The sequence below is a fragment of the Homo sapiens genome, chromosome 12 (assembly GCF_000001405.40).
Source record: "Homo sapiens chromosome 12, GRCh38.p14 Primary Assembly".
In the NCBI taxonomy this organism is placed as follows: domain Eukaryota; kingdom Metazoa; phylum Chordata; class Mammalia; order Primates; family Hominidae; genus Homo; species Homo sapiens.
In genome coordinates this window covers 64898539-64912237 of record NC_000012.12, presented here as the reverse complement: position 1 = coordinate 64912237, position 13699 = coordinate 64898539, and the positions used below count along the sequence as shown (strand labels likewise).

Sequence of the window (13699 nt, the reverse complement as noted above, 5' to 3'; positions counted from 1 at the left end):
CCCAGAGGTCTCCAGCCCAACCACAACCGATAAATAAAATCAATTCTAAGATCAGATGCCCTCCCTCTCCAGTGACTGCTTAGGCCTGTAATTAAACTACGAAGACAGAGATATCAACTATGTTAGACAGCGAGCTTTAAAAAATGAAATGTGGCATCATTTATTTTCTGGAGAACAAATGCCTTGAAGCTAGTGCCTGGTCATATTAATATTTCATTTTTATGTTTCCCTTGCCAGTGATCCCCCAGCCCTTTCCTGCTTTGCAGCATTCTCAGACTTCCTCAGAAGTCATGCATTTAAAAACATGTTTAAACACACATTCTTATAAAAACCTATTTCTCCTTGGTAAGAGGGGAGGGTTAAAAATACCCAGCATCCTCCCAAAAAATTACCAAGAAGCCTTTAATTTGGCACATGTCCTTCCTGTGATTTAAACTCATCAAACCACAGCCGTCCCTGGATAAAATTAGAATCAGACATAACAAAAACAAGATATATAGAAGACTACTGGGAACAATCTTTAGAGATGTTAAAAATAATAACAAATATAGAGAGAAACTGTGCTTTAAAATCACACAATTCTAGATATATCCAGATCAATATATTAACGCAAATACTGCGAAAAGTTATACCATAAAAGTTGAATAATATTTTCATAAAACAAGGCAGTGTTTTCACAAGGCACCTTTCATCAAGCAATATTACAACTTCAGAAAGCACTGGATAGAGAAAGGGAAATATTCCCCAAATCCAATAAAGCTCAGTTGCACCATTTAAAATAACTGCCAAGAAATGGGACATTCTGGGACAGAATTTTGGATCAAACTACTATGTTATTATATCATTGTTTAGAAATGGAAACTCAATTATGTTACAGAATGGCCTTTGTGAATTACTAAACGACTTTGAAATGATAGATGAAAACTTTCTTCTCAGATCCACTCTCACTGGGATAAGAGTGATTTCTCTACTTGGCATGCAATACATGTCCTTCAGAGCAAATTGTTCTGGCCAGAAATGCTCATGCATTATGACAAGGAGCAGAATAACAGCTTTTACTTAAAGCTTTGCACCATAGCGAGTTTTACACAACGATAGAAATTCCCAGAAATGGGTCTCAGGGAGACTGTTTTGTTGCTGTCATTGTTGACTTAAATTGCATACTCTTTGTGTTTTCCAAAAGCCAAACCCTTATTCACCTGTAAATATGCTAGAAATTTTGGGGCAATGTATCAATGAAATAATGCCCCAACTCCCAGCTGATACTAACTAGTGTATGTGCTAAAACAATACAATGAAAAGAAACTCTTGGACTTGAGCAAATTAAGTGGAAAAAGATATGGAAAGGTTCAAGACCAGTCAATAAAGTAAATAAACTATTTCTATCCACCAGTCAGGTTTTGAAAGAGCTCATATAGATAAGTTTTACTACCCTTCTGGCATTAAGAAATTGAAAGCTCCTTCTGGTCTTATGGATTTCTTTTTTTTTTTTTTTTTTTTTTTTTTTTGAGACAGAGTCTTGCTCTGTCACCCAGGCTAGAGTGCAGTGGTATGATTTAGCTCACTGTAACCTCTGCCTCCCGGGTTCAAGCAATTCTCCTGCCTCAGCCTCCCAAGTAGCTGGGATTACAAGCACCCACCACCATGCCCGGTTAATTTTTGTATTTTTAGTAGAGATGGGGTTTCGCCGTGTTGGCCAGGCTGGTCTTGAACTCCTGATCTCCGGTGATCCACCCACCTCAGCCTCCCAAAGTGCTAGGATTACATGAGCCACCGCACCCAGCCTGGATTTATTTTTAATAGAGTTGTTAATATAACCAAGATCAGATCCCATCTGAGTACATTGCCTCCAAGATCCAGATCTTCTGCTTCAGGATCACCATGTGAGTGTCTGCAGCAAAACCTCCAGCCAAGTGGAAATCACACGGCACCCACCACATAAACCCTGCATGTTCCTGTGCAGGCCTATCCCTTAGGTAGGACAAGTTAGGCAGAGGCTCTGGACCCTACATTTAAGGGGCAAGGGTTGGGAAAGCCTTAGGGTACTGCACCATATTCTCTTTTCTGAATACCACTAACTTCTCTCTCAAATTTTCTGTCCCAAGTGGGCTTTGAATAATGAGAATAGAGTGGACTCATTCCAAGTGAGACTTTCTAGTGTGGGTCCCATACAGGTTTTATTACCCCAGTCCCAGACCCCATGCCCCTGCTTTAAGGTATGGCCCTGCTTTAGGTACATTTCAGTAGTGGCCTTTCCCAGAGTCCTGAGAACTCAGAAGGAGGTTGCGGCAGGCCCTGCAGTACCAGGTCTCTTTCCTTCTCCAGAGATGGAGTCTTGCAGGTCTTCAACAGGGAAGGAAACTCCAGAAAGGCACAGGATATAGATCAATATTTTGTCTCTCAGATGAGGCCATTTTAATATGTCATCAGAAACTGTTTCTGAACACATTTTCTAAATCTAACATCAAACAAATTAATGCCTCAAGCCACATTTTGGGTTTGTTATTACTTGGCTTTATTTTATTGAGGGAGTCAATCTTGTCTTTCAATAGAATTTGCTGGTTCCAACAATTAGTGACATAAATCCAGGAATGAGAGTGCCAGAGAAAAAAACTAGTCTGTGCCTTATTCCTCCTCCCTTAGCTCTGGGATCATTGAGGTTGTGTTTCTATAATGCAGGAAGCTGCCTTTGATTTTTCTTTTAGAAACTATGCAAAATAAAAAAATTTGAGGGCCGGTGTAACTTCTTGAGAAGGACAAGAAAAAGAGCCAGAATCCCAGTGGTGCCAGAAAGACTTGGGGGCACATAAACCTCAAGGTCAGTCCTGCCTAGGAGCTGAAAGAAATCATAATAAGATTTTGTCTCTTTTCATCTTCAAAGTCCTTCATAAGCTCTAAATCGTGTATCCCACCACACTACTGTAATCATGCGATTTGGCAGAAGCAGGAGACCTTTTATCTCTGGAGCTCAAAGCACTCTATAAATGCCAATTAATCCTTACAACTGCCCTGGGAGGTGATGGAATATCGGCGGACCTACTTTGTACATAGAGAAGTTACGTGATTTGGTCCAACCCACACAGCAAATTGGCAGCAGAAATAAGTTGAGAACTTGATCTGGAGGTTCTATCCCTGGGACATCTAAGGCTGAAAGCCAAGTCTGTATTTAAAGCATCTACATGGTAGCTGGCACATAGTAGATGCTTAGGTAATAATTTTTGAATGAATGAATAAGTTGGATATTCATATTCCCAACTGCCTGATGAATGTGCCTGAGCTGTGCTAACATCCCCAACTCAGGTTCAAATTTCTTATCCAAATTGGCTTTGACTCTTGGGTTTCCATTCATTCATCCTCCAACCAGAACACCTACTATAGCCAAAGCCCTCTCCTAAGCCCAGTAGATAGAGTGGTGAATAACACAGGCAGCAGCCGTCTCTCAAGGAATTTGCATCCTGAGAAAACAAGGTAGACAATAACGAAGAATACAAGTCATGTTAGATAAGAAGAGTGGAGTGATGTGACAGTACATAAAAGCCAATCGCTGGAGACCAAGGGGTCATCCAGTTGCCACTGCAGGTGTAGGGCAAGTGCCAGGGCCCAGGGCACTAAGAATGTTTTTAGTATTCTGGCAACTTAAGGAAAGAAATTCTCATTTGCTTCTATTCCCCTACAATTGACAGCAAGACCTTTAGGTTAAAAAAGGCCTAATGATTTGTCTTCAGAAATAATGAGAGGCAAACTGGTGATATTGTGTTGTAAGGAGTTCAGAGATGGAATAGGTGATGGCGGCTTCTGAGCTACAGGCCAGGGTCAAGACTGGTCCCCAGAGCCCTTCTGCACCTGAGCATTGCCCCAAGGCATAATATTAAAGTCCCATGCATCCCAACAGAGACTGCTTACCTCTTCTATTTGCCAATCTGTCCATTCATTCACTTTATATTTATTGAGTATCTACTATGCGTCAAGCTCCAAGTGCATCTCTGCCCTCAATGGCCCCACCACAAGCCAGGCCAACAATGATCCATCTCGATATGCTTTTCTTTGACATACAGCATTTTTTTTTTTAGTTATAAGATGATTTGTGGCCCAGTAGTAATGAAAAAGGGGTCATATAGAGATAAATTATCAGTAGGTTTTTTTTGTTTGTTTTTTATTCCTGTCATGGCAAATTTGTAGTTTTAAAAGTGAACTACTCAGCACCAATGGTAGTTTTTCCTTTTTTTACAAAAAAAAAACTAATAGAATTTATTTTTATAGAAGGATTTTTAGGTTTATAGAAAAATTGATCAGAAAGTCCAGAGTGTTCCCACTCCCTCCGTTTCCCTATCTCTCTACTCTGAGTCAATCCTGGAAATGTGCTTGTCTGCTTCCATAAAGGAGCTAATAAGATCACTAAGCACATTAACCTCATGCTTTTCAAATCCCTCTAATTTTACAAAAACAATTGTTAGAAGAACTCAGGTTACAGACAAAGCTCCTGCCTTTCTGACACAGAATTCAGAGCCAGCTGTGAACACATGAAATTCTGTTCAGGCTTATTGGACCTAAGGTGGCATTATTACAAGGAGCAAACTCCAATATCTCTCCTGGGCTCACTTTTCCCCTATCCTGAATTTAATTTCGTGGGGTTGAGGAAGAGGTGGAGGAGATAGCCCTCCAAGTTGGTCCTCCTGGCAATAGTAGCAGCAATACCTAGATGTCTGCAGTGCTAGTGGACTTGACTGTGAAAATGTTTCTATTTTTTCAAGGTACACATTACCCCAAAGCCCATGAGCCTGCTTTGAGGAAGCAGTTCTGTAAAGATGGATTCTTCAGTCACGTGTTCCATATCTTCTACTTGCTTCTCCAAGTCACTGTAGTTTCCTCTCTGAACATAACTAAGTGGGCTTAAATTCCATCAAATCTGTCCTGCATCGTAACTGAAATTTAGCCTAGGTCAACAAAAATTTTCCTCACAACTGTTCACAGTTCTCTTTTCATTCTATCATAGAATTAACAATGCAGAGTAAGCCCAAAGATAGAGAGTGAAGGAGAAAAGGAGAATTTAAAGCTGAGCTGATCCTCAAATTAAAGACTTGTTCTCCCTAAGTGAGGGTTCTCAGAATAGAATTCCCCTGAGCCTATCTAAGAATATGGCGGTTGGCTCCGAAACTCCTAAGAAAATCAGAAACCACCCAGCACCTCAGGAATGCATTCATAGATCAACTGGAAATGCAGGAAGGGTCCTTTCTTAGAAATCATTTGATCTAGACTCCTGAAGATTTTGTCAATGAAGAAATTGTGGCCCAAAACAGTGAAGAGGCCAGGCAGGCCTGCATCATAGAGTCAGGAGAAAACAGAAACTCAATGTCCTGATTCTTCTTACTTTTCACTATACACAGATGTTGCTCCCTGCACACATGCATACATACTTAAAATCTACTTTCTACAGAGTTTAAGTTCACTTTAATCAGCTACTGACTGAAAATGAACAGGGATGCTTTGGTCAACCAAAGATATGTTCATGTCCAAAACCCCAGAAATAAGCTGGAAAAAAGTAATTGGCATTGCTGGTCCCTGGAAACTGTGTGGCCCTTTCTCCCTGACACTTCCATGCCTGCAAGCAAAATTCTCTGTCACATACATGTGCAATTATCTCTGTTTCCCAGAGATCCTGAGGGCAGCCAGCTAAGGCTAAAAGGCCTCAATGACAGAGAAACTAAAGTTTTCTTCTCTCTATACTCTCTGGGCTGAAAGCTGGGCCTGCCCACTCTGTTCTATCCACTGCCGGTTGTAAATTATGAAATTGTGCTACAATTGATTGGGTGCCAGGTCCTGGACTAGGTGATTTTCTTTTGTCCTCACAATTACCCCTATCTGTCCAATGTGAAAACTGAGACTCAATTAGGTGAACCCACTGGTCTCCCTCCAAAACCTGCTGCTGCCTTCCTGGCCATGTTCTGGTCAACCAGGAGTTGGCTCTTCTCTGTTCTAAAAGTGGAGTGGCAGCTGTGAGGACCCCAAAGAAGACCAATTCCAGAAGCCAAGCCAAACATACTGGTGTGCTTTCTGCCCCCAGGAGTTGGAGGAGCTATATCTAAGCTCTTGGACTGAAGACTCACATTATTGAACATCAGGATGGCCAGGCACAGCCAGAATATTACAACTGGGTGCCCCAAATCTACAAAACTTTTCCTCCAAGTCCCAACATTCTATATTTTATGCAATCAATTTCCCTCCTTCTTATGACAGTCTCAGGAGGAGCATTGTATCCTTTTCCCTGGAAAACCTCTTCTTGCCACTCCTCTTACCAGGTGAGTGACTGGCCCCTGTGGACCTTCTGTGCATTTTACAGAAGTTGTCCTCTTCACGGTATCTTTGCTTTGTGGTGGCAGATTGGGGGTGACATCATCACAGCCATAGCCATATAACACTAGGTCTCTGCTGCCTAGTCTTCCACCATTGAAAATCCACCCCTTCTGTTCATATGTTGTGCTATACCAGTGAGGGGATGTTGGTGTTCAGCGGGATGAATCCATATCTGCAGGTGGATGAAGCAAGGGATTTGACATAAATGATTCTCTAATTCTCACCTAGCTGTGATGGCCTCTAAGCTCCAAGGTCACAGCTCAGGTGGCTGAGCTGACCTTTGAACCCAAATCAGCCTGGCTCACAGCTCATCACTACCTGATGCTGCCTCCTATTTCTGGAACTTTCTCCATTTTGGAGATACTCCCGGAACATCCCTAGACATGGCCTCTCACCTTCCCCACTCCTACTTTCCATGGTGTTTGTCATTGCTCAGTTTTCCTCAAACTTAAGGAACACAGAAAAATAGGGGCCCACAGCTCAGTGTAAAGGAAAGTTTAAAGCTGTGGCTTTCTGGTGTCAACACAGTTATGAACCTAGAAGCAAACGTGGGCACTAAAATTCAATGGCACTGGTTAAGTGTTTGGTTATAAGGTAGTCATAGACGTGATCCAAAATCAGGTTGGATTTGGTTTTTTAAAATATCAAGACATTAAATGTATTCAGTAATAAAATATTGAAATTAAAAAGTCAAAATTAAAACTTTTCACTGAAATGATGGATTCCCTGGGAACCCATGGCCAGCAAATTAAGCAACAGAGGGGAAGATCACCTTCCCTTACTCACAGATGGGTGCCGGAGGCCCCCTGGACTTCGAGATAGGAGTTTCTGTGTGTGCATGCAGGAAGAGGAGGGACTCTCATAGCTAACATTTATTGAGTGCTTAGTTTGTGCAAGACTGGTTAAGCACATTATATGTTTTATTTATTTAACCCTCCCAGCAATCCTATGAGCTAGGTACTCTTATCTCTGCTTTTACTGATGAACAAATCAAGACCTAGAGAGGTTAAATAATTTGACCAGGGTCGCACAGTTGGTAGAGAAACCCTTGTCTATGGTCAAAGCTCAAGCTGCTAACCTGAACACTAGTTCTCTCTCTCTCCCACGTGCAACCCTAATGAGGAATGTCAGCACACTTAGTCAGCCTTGGTTCTCCTCACTTTCTTTTTACCACCTCTGGTTGCACCAGCACTGATTCTGGGCATCACACAAAAAGCCTGCATGGGCACTCCCCACAGCGCCAACTCAGCGTCAGGCCCACGACAGCCAGTTAGGAAACACTTGGCTCGTTGTGAAGGAGTAAAATGCTTTAAATAGAGGAGTGTGGTGTGTGCGTATTGCTGTTTGTTTCCATTTTTCTTATTATTCCATTCCCCTTTTTATGGATCACCGAATACTGGCTGGAGCAAATCCAAGCAAGTTATTGACAGAAGGACAAGGAAACCAAAATGAAGATCATATTCCCCAAATAGGCCCCCACATCCTTCTCCATCTCCTCTGGAACCTGGTGGATTTTTGAAGAGACAAAGCTCTTACATTTCTGTTATGGGGATGAGATTTAGGGCAGAAATTATGAGGCCTAACTGATGCAGGACATTCTCTCTGGCTTGGGGTGGGTGGGCTGTATTCCCGGCTGCTTGGCTCTTTCCTCTCTTCCTTGGTGATTTCAGACAGGCACTAAAGGAGCCCAGAGATATCTCCAGCGGTCACCTGAACCCCAGCTTCGGCGCCCACCTCTGTCACAAAGACACCGTGCAGAGAGACTTGATTGAAAAAGCATATGTTCAAACCTGATTGAACTTGCTAACTTAAAGAGGCATTAAAGACAGGAAATGAAAAAGAGATGAGCTGAATTAGTTTACCTTCGGGACCCCAGATAGTATATTTATACAGTCACCATGAGGTAACAACATGGAAGGGTTCCAAGGCTTGGTATGATCTAACCTGCAAGTCTATTTTCTTGTTTTCCGGTCTAGAATCCTCTCCTTGTGGGGGCTGAGTGCTGTCTGGTGCTAAACGTTTCCAGCCAGGGAACTTCTAACCTCTCTCTGGAGACACTCCTGAATACATTAGTAAGTTGGATTCTTCTCTTTCTTTTCACCTCACTGCCACTACTTACATTCTTGGTACCAAGCTAAACAAGTCCCCACTTTGGTGGTTTACATGGAAAGGTATTTGCTGTTTGTTAACATGCTCCCTGAAGTCATTTCTGGGTCCTGGCTCTGTGTTTTTGGTTTCTTTAATCTTTCCTCATAAATCAGTCCCTCCGTTCCCTTCATCTTTTTATTGCCTTTCTCTGAACTCTCTCCAATTTGTCTACATATTTCTAGTGCTGGGTGTCTAAACATAACTTGCTGGATGAAAAGTCATATTTGGAGGGACCTCATCAATTTATCTCTTGCCCTGAATCTTTTCAAGGGGTCTTGGGTATAGTTCTAAATACCACTGACCTGTCTACTCCATTAATTAATAATAAATATCCCCTAGAACAACCTGATAATGTTGTCATCAGACTGCATGGCCCAAGACTCCCTTAAAGAAGAGACTGTTGTTGGTTTTCTGTTTTGTTTTGTTTTTTCATATCTTCTGGTACACAGTAATTAACCAGCTTGGAGGGACCCACCTTACACCTTGGTACATTTTTTAATGAGTGGTGTTAAAGAAAGATTTCAGGGTATTTTTCACAGGCAACCACAAGCTGATGGAAGAGGGCTGTTTCTAAGTTGGCTGTTTAGATGGGACACACTTCCCTAGAGAAACTGTGCTGTTTGTGGTTAAGCTTAACACCTAGTTCACAAAATATATTTAATAAAGTTTTAAAATGTTCACAAACCCCATTGTGGCCAAGAGTACGGTGAAAGAGGAATTCTTACATACAGGTAATAACTGTGCAAGTTGGCACAACCTTTTGCAGGGTAATTTGGCAACATGTATCCCAAAGTTTTACAAGTACATGCTCTTTGACCAATGAGTAACCAATGAGGTTACTTCTAGGAAGTTATCCTTAAAAAAAAATTGAAAAGGTGACAAAGGTGTATGTATAAGATGTTTATCCAAGTATTATTTATAGTAATAGGAAAATATTGACAATAGCCTAAAAGATTTTTTTAAAGAGTGATTGGGTAAGTAGAATGGAAATAGGCTACAAAGATGTATATACAAGGATATTTAGCATAGTATTATTTGTAGTAATATGACAAATTGGAAATAACCTAAAAATTCAACATAGGTTGATTGGTTAAACAAGTGGGTCTAGCTCCATATTTATTGATACAGAACGATGCCTATGGTGGCCAGGCATGGTGGCTCATGCCTGTAATCCCAACACTTTGGGAAGCCAAGGTGGGTGGATCACATGAGATCAGGAGTTCGAGACCTGCCTGGCCAACATGGTGAAACCCCAACTCTACTAAAAAAATACAAAAATTAGTTGGGCATGATGGCGCACACCTATAGTCTCAGCTACTCGGGAGTCTGAGGAAGGAGAATCACTTGAACTTGGGAGGTGGAGGTTGCAGTGAGCAGTGAGCTGAGATTGCACCACTGCACTACAGCCTGAGTGACAGAGCAAGACTCTGTCAAAAAAACAGAAAGAAAAGAAAAGAGAAGAAGAGGAGAGAAAGGAGGCAGAGAGGGAGGGAGGGAAGTAGGGAGGGAGGAAGAAAGGAAGGAAAAGATGCTTGTGGCATATTGAGTTAAAAGAGCTTCTGACGAAGAAGGAGTTATAATGTGATTCCATTTTTATTTAGAAAAATCTCTACCTCGGGCTGGGGGCGGTGGCTCATACCCGTAATCCCAGCACTTTGGGAGGCCAAGGCGGGCAGATCATGAGGTCAAGAGATCGAGACTGTCCTGGCCAACATGGTGAAACCCCGTCTCTACTAAAAATACAAAAATTAGCTGGGTGTGGTGGCACACGCCTGTAGTCCCGGCTAGTCGGGAGGCTAAGGCAGGAGAATTGCTTGAACCCGGGAGGCAGAGGTTGCAGTGAGCAGAGATCATGCCGCTGCACTCCACCCTGGTGAAAGAGCGAGACTCCGTCTCAAAAAAAAAAAAAAAAAAAGAAAGAAAAAAAAAGAAAAATCTCTACCTCTAAGTTTATGAATATAAATAAATATATATACACATATGAGAGAGAGAGATCTGGAGATAAATATCCCAAAATATTCATAATGGTTGTCTCTAAGTGATAGGCTGAAGGTGACTGCACGTTCTACTTTATTGTCTGATCCTAATCCAGTGAGCCTGGTTACTTGTAAAATTAGCAAAAACAATAAACCTTCCTTTTACTTTTTGAAAATTGAAATTAAAACCGAATCAAGGGCCAAACATGGTGGCTCACACCTATAATCCCAGCCCTTAGGGAGACTGAGGTAGGTGGATTTCTTGAGCCAGGAGTTCCAGGTTGCAATGAGCTAGACCCTGTCTCAAACAACAACAACAAACAAACAAAAAAAAACTAGTCAGAATGTACTGGGCTTCTACTACATGCAAAAGATAAATAAGGGTCACTTTCCTGCCTCGGGTAAATACGCAGCTATATGCAGTGCTATGAGAACACACACAAGCCGCAGAAGGAACCATGACGGGGCCTGGGAAGACTGTGCAAGGCTTTGGAGAGAGGTCATATTTCAGTCAGACCTTGAAGGATGAGCAAAGTAGGGATGGTCATTCTAAGTCCACCACCCTACCTCTTGAGTATCAAATTTACTTCTTATTAAAAAGAAGAAAAAAAAACTTCCTTCCCAGCATATTGTTTGTCTATCTGTCTAGTATGAATATAGTTACAATAATTTTCTCTGTAACACACAAGCATTTAATGGTTGTGTTTGTATGATCAATGAAACAGTTAATCAATGTATATGACCAGCATTAAGCTGATTTTGCTAACAACCTATTAAAATGGAGAAAATAGAAGATCAAAATAAATAGTTAATAGAAAATCAATTCCAACCAGACTCCCAGTAAGGAAATGTCCTGCTTAACTAAACATGTGGCCAGCACTGAGCTAGGCACGGAAACATTCTTATAAAAGTCCCCAGCCCCTGCCCTCTTCCACACTCACACCCTGACATGTATCCAGCCTTTGTCATCATCTGCACGGGGCTGCTGCCTGTCAACTGAGTGTTGATATGTTCTCTTTGGTGACATTGTGAAATATTGACTCACATCTGATGTTCCCACTCACTTTCTAGATTCTTGGCTCCAAGACAGAACAGTCAATTGAATTCCAGATGGCAGGATGCACGTATCATCAAACGGAGGAACAATCCTCTGTTGAGAGATGATGTTTCTTTCTCCACAGGTGACCTAGGAAAGCAAGGGCATGCTTGTGTGTGGACACTCACTCATACCATGTGTGCTCGGGTTGTGTGCACAGGCTACCAAAAGCCCTTTGCATACTAAGTTCTTGGTTTATCCACAGAGCATTTTGCTGACCTCTCTCCAGAAAAACAAACAAACAAACAAACAAACAAACAAAAAAACAGCTCCTTAACCTTATTAAACCAAACACTTAAATTCTGAAGCGGCCCAGGAGAATAAGAAGAAACCACTAGAACCCACATTGCTGCACTCTCCTCAGAATGTGATATGTTGGTTAAAACACACACACACACTGACACATATAATGAAAGTGGCCAAAAAAAAATCAAGATATGCTAGAAGAGAATTATCTTGAATTAAGGGAGGACCAAAGTCTACAGATAGAAAGAGCTCAAGAAGTATCAGGAAAGCACAACAATGCAAATGACTCAACATCAGAGGACTGTGCACTTAAAAATGGTTAAAATGGGCCTAGTGCAGTGGCTCACACCTGTAATCCCAACATTTTGGGAGGCCGAGGCAAGAGGATTGTTTGAGCTCAGGAGTTTGAGACCAGCCTGGGCAACACAGTGAGACCTCATCTCTACAAAAATCAAAATATTAGCCAGGCATGGTGGCATGTGCCTGTAGTCCCAGCAACTTGAGAGGCTGAAGCAGGAGGATTGTTTGAGCCCAGGAGTTCAAGATTGCAGTGAGCTATGATCACATCACTGCACTCCAGCCCGGGTTGACGGAGCTAGAACCTGTTTTTTAAAAAAAGCCCTTGGCAAGATGCACTAGTAAGACTCTCTCCACTTTAACTAGTAAGACTCTCTCCACTTTATCCTATACCCTACCACCAGAGATGGAGAAAGAGTTCTTCTAAGGTATAAGGCAGACTCTTAATGCCACACAATACTACAGGATATGTGCAGCAGTTATCCCCACCCAATTCCTGGTCCTTTTTCATCCTAAAGCCTCATCTCGCCCCTGAACTTTGCCTTGTCCTTTAACTCCATCCACCTCTCATTACTTTCTTTAGATGAGCCCAAGGATGATGCTGATTTGTAGGTATCAGGGACAGGGGTGAGTCTGAGGGATGGAGTGGGGTGAAGAAAATAGGGCAGTGACATTCCAGAAGTCTCTAGAGGAGGGATAGGAATCCAGGTGGGGATCTAGTTGAAACTGAGGAACTTGTATTATATATTTATTTGGGGTAACACTGGGGTGGGTTGACGGAGATTAGGGAACTTGTGATAAAGTTGCCTACCAAGCACTTTTTTTTTACTTTGAATATTTATTTGAAATGGTGTGGGTTAGGGTTGATGAAACTGTGGAGAGTTTTATTTTATCAAGCTGGTTCAGCCCATGTTAGCTTCCTGTTGACTCCTAGGTCTCTCATCACTCAGTTCAGGCATTACTTTATTTAGTTAGTTAGTTAGCTAGTTAGTTAGTTAGTTGGTTATTTTGACATGGAGTCTCACTCTGTCTCCCAGGCTGGAGTGCAGTGGCATGATCTCTGCTCACTGCAACCTCCAGGCACTACTTTCTCTTGAGGTTTTTCCCTGACTCCAAGTCTCAATCACATGCCCCTCTTCTGGACTCTTATAACACTTCAGGTATACCTTGACCTAAGAACTTATTACACTCTACTCTTGCTTTCCTTGTCTACCCTGACACTAGACTGCAGCTCCTTCAGGACAAGGAATGTCTCTCATTCTGCATCCTGAGCACCAAGCACTGTGTCTGGTAAGTGACAAGGGCCAATAGTTCTTTTTAAACAAATAATAGGATAAATGAGCAAAGAATTCATACTATAGGTAATTCACCTCAAAAACATGAGAGGTTACAGAGCGATAATTAGTCTGCTATTCCACACCTCCAGAAACCCTGATGATTAAACCAGAAGAAACAGACTTTTTATATAGTAAGTTACAGCAAACCCACATGTGAATCAGTCATTGAATGAATTAATGAAGTGACAAGTTAATCTAAAACAAGTCTCGGGCAAAATATGAGACAAAACAAAGCAAAATACATGACT

The 13699-nt window shown here is 41.8% G+C and overlaps 1 long non-coding RNA gene across 1 annotated transcript in view; it reads right to left on the bottom strand.

The window, feature by feature from the left end:
• Window positions 1–13699, bottom strand: part of LINC02389 (long intergenic non-protein coding RNA 2389) — a 93749-nt gene that overhangs the window by 65285 nt on the left and 14765 nt on the right. The window contains exon 2 of the long non-coding RNA NR_033988.1: window positions 11540–11661. This is a non-coding gene — a long non-coding RNA (long intergenic non-protein coding RNA 2389). The remainder of the gene's footprint in view (window positions 1–11539; window positions 11662–13699) is intronic.